Source organism: Homo sapiens, chromosome 2, assembly GCF_000001405.40.
Source record: "Homo sapiens chromosome 2, GRCh38.p14 Primary Assembly".
NCBI lineage: Eukaryota > Metazoa > Chordata > Mammalia > Primates > Hominidae > Homo > Homo sapiens.
The window spans coordinates 88284054-88285723 of NC_000002.12; the positions used below are offsets into that span (position 1 = coordinate 88284054).

The 1670-nt window shown below is 54.0% G+C and overlaps 1 long non-coding RNA gene across 1 annotated transcript; it reads left to right on the top strand.

Moving 5' to 3' along the window:
- Positions 1-274: 274 nt before the first annotated feature.
- Positions 275-1097, top strand: LOC124907855 (uncharacterized). Its single transcript, XR_007087131.1, has 2 exons — positions 275-525; positions 774-1097. It is a non-coding gene; the product is annotated as an uncharacterized LOC124907855 (long non-coding RNA).
- The last annotated feature ends 573 nt before the right edge of the window (positions 1098-1670 follow it).

The following is a 1670-nucleotide window of genomic DNA, read 5'->3' on the forward strand; positions in this document are numbered from 1 at the left end:
TTCGTAATCACAGCGGTCACGTCGCCGTCATTCAACCCTTTCTGTCGTCAGGTGCCCAGCCACTCCCTGGGGGCGCCTGCAGCCCAGACGCCCGGCAGCCTCTCCAAGCCACGGAGGATGACTGGACTGCGGCTCCGCGGGAAGATGAAGGCGACCACTGTCTTTATAGAGGAGTTGTCTCTTATCCTCCAGGGAACCAGAAATAGGCAGGTCGACCAGGCGTCGGCCCCTCCGCCTCCGCCTGGCCCTGTGCTCCCCGGGGCCCAGCGCCCCGAACACAACCCCAGGGACTCACGGCATTTGATGTGGCCCCCAGCGGCCCGCAGCTCCAGCCACGTTTGGGCGGGATCCGGCTGTTCGCGGGTCGGGCCGCCCAACCTGCCAATCCGCAGCTGCCGCCTGCCCCCAGGCAGGCCCGATTACTGGTTTTGCACCTGGAAGGGGCCCCAACCCGGCTTTGGTGAGACTCTATCTCCCAGGTGGTGCAGGAGTGGCTGCGGTGTCTGGGGCAAGGGGAAACCCCAGGTAAACTCTAACAACCAAGAAGGAGGCAGGCGAGAACTTTTTTCGGGGCAGGGAGAAGAGGAGGCAGAGGTGGGGAGGGGAGGGGAGATGAGTGCTGTTGCTGGGGACTTGGCGCCTTCTCACGTGGCTTCCCAGGCCACCATCAATAGCAGGGGCAAAGCATGCATCTTGCCACTCCACCTGTACCGAGTTTGGCCAAGTCACTGGCAGAGCTAGGCTTTGATGTTCTCCATTCTCCCCTGTGCCAGAAGGAAGGCACCCACTGCCTCTCGTGTTTTCGCTTTGCCTCCTGCCTGCCAACCAAAGGTGAAAGGGGAAGATTTTGGAGTCCGAATGCCGGGAGCCCTTGGTTGCCACTAGTTTCTTAGGCAGCTCTTCTGCTCTGCCTGCTGCTGAGCACACAAGTCCAAGGGCACACTGACCTTCAGGAGAGCAAGGAAGCATGAATCCTACAAAAAGGAGTATAGGGAGAAGAGCAGATGGCAGACTGGGGCCTGGGGGCCTCCTGCTACAGAATTTACCTAATCCACCCAGATTTCATATAATAAAAATTGCTGCTGTTTGAATGTTCACTGTTCCCCCAGACACTATGCTAAGGGCATGACTTGCTTTCTCTCCTTGAATCCTAGCAGTCCTATAAGATCCCCATTGTACAGATGAGGACACTAAGGCTTAGAAAGGGTTAAGTACTTACCCATAGTAGATAAGGGTGGGAGGAAATTTAAACTCATGCTGACTGACCCTGGAGTCCACTGTTGAACCTTTTATTATCTGGCCTTCTAAAGAGTGGTCTGGCCTCAATGGACAGGTGGAATCAAGAGAAGGCCAGGATTTCCAGGGAGGGAGAGGCTGGATGAGCTTCACTGGCCCTGAATAAAATAAAACTATTTTTTTCCTTTTTAAGGAATAGAATAAGAGCACACTTAATGGCCAAATATTCCAACATTTTCAGGCCCATCCTGATTTCCAAGAGTCCTGGTGTGCTCATTAATCATGAAAATATCTTGGACAAATTGGTTTCTGGGGCCCAAATTGCCACTTAGACTCCTCACAGTTGGAAGCAACATGAAACTTACCTGTTGGTCTGTGAGTCCCATCTTTTGACATAAAAATGGCAGTTTCCTGTCTCATAGGAGCTCTCCCTC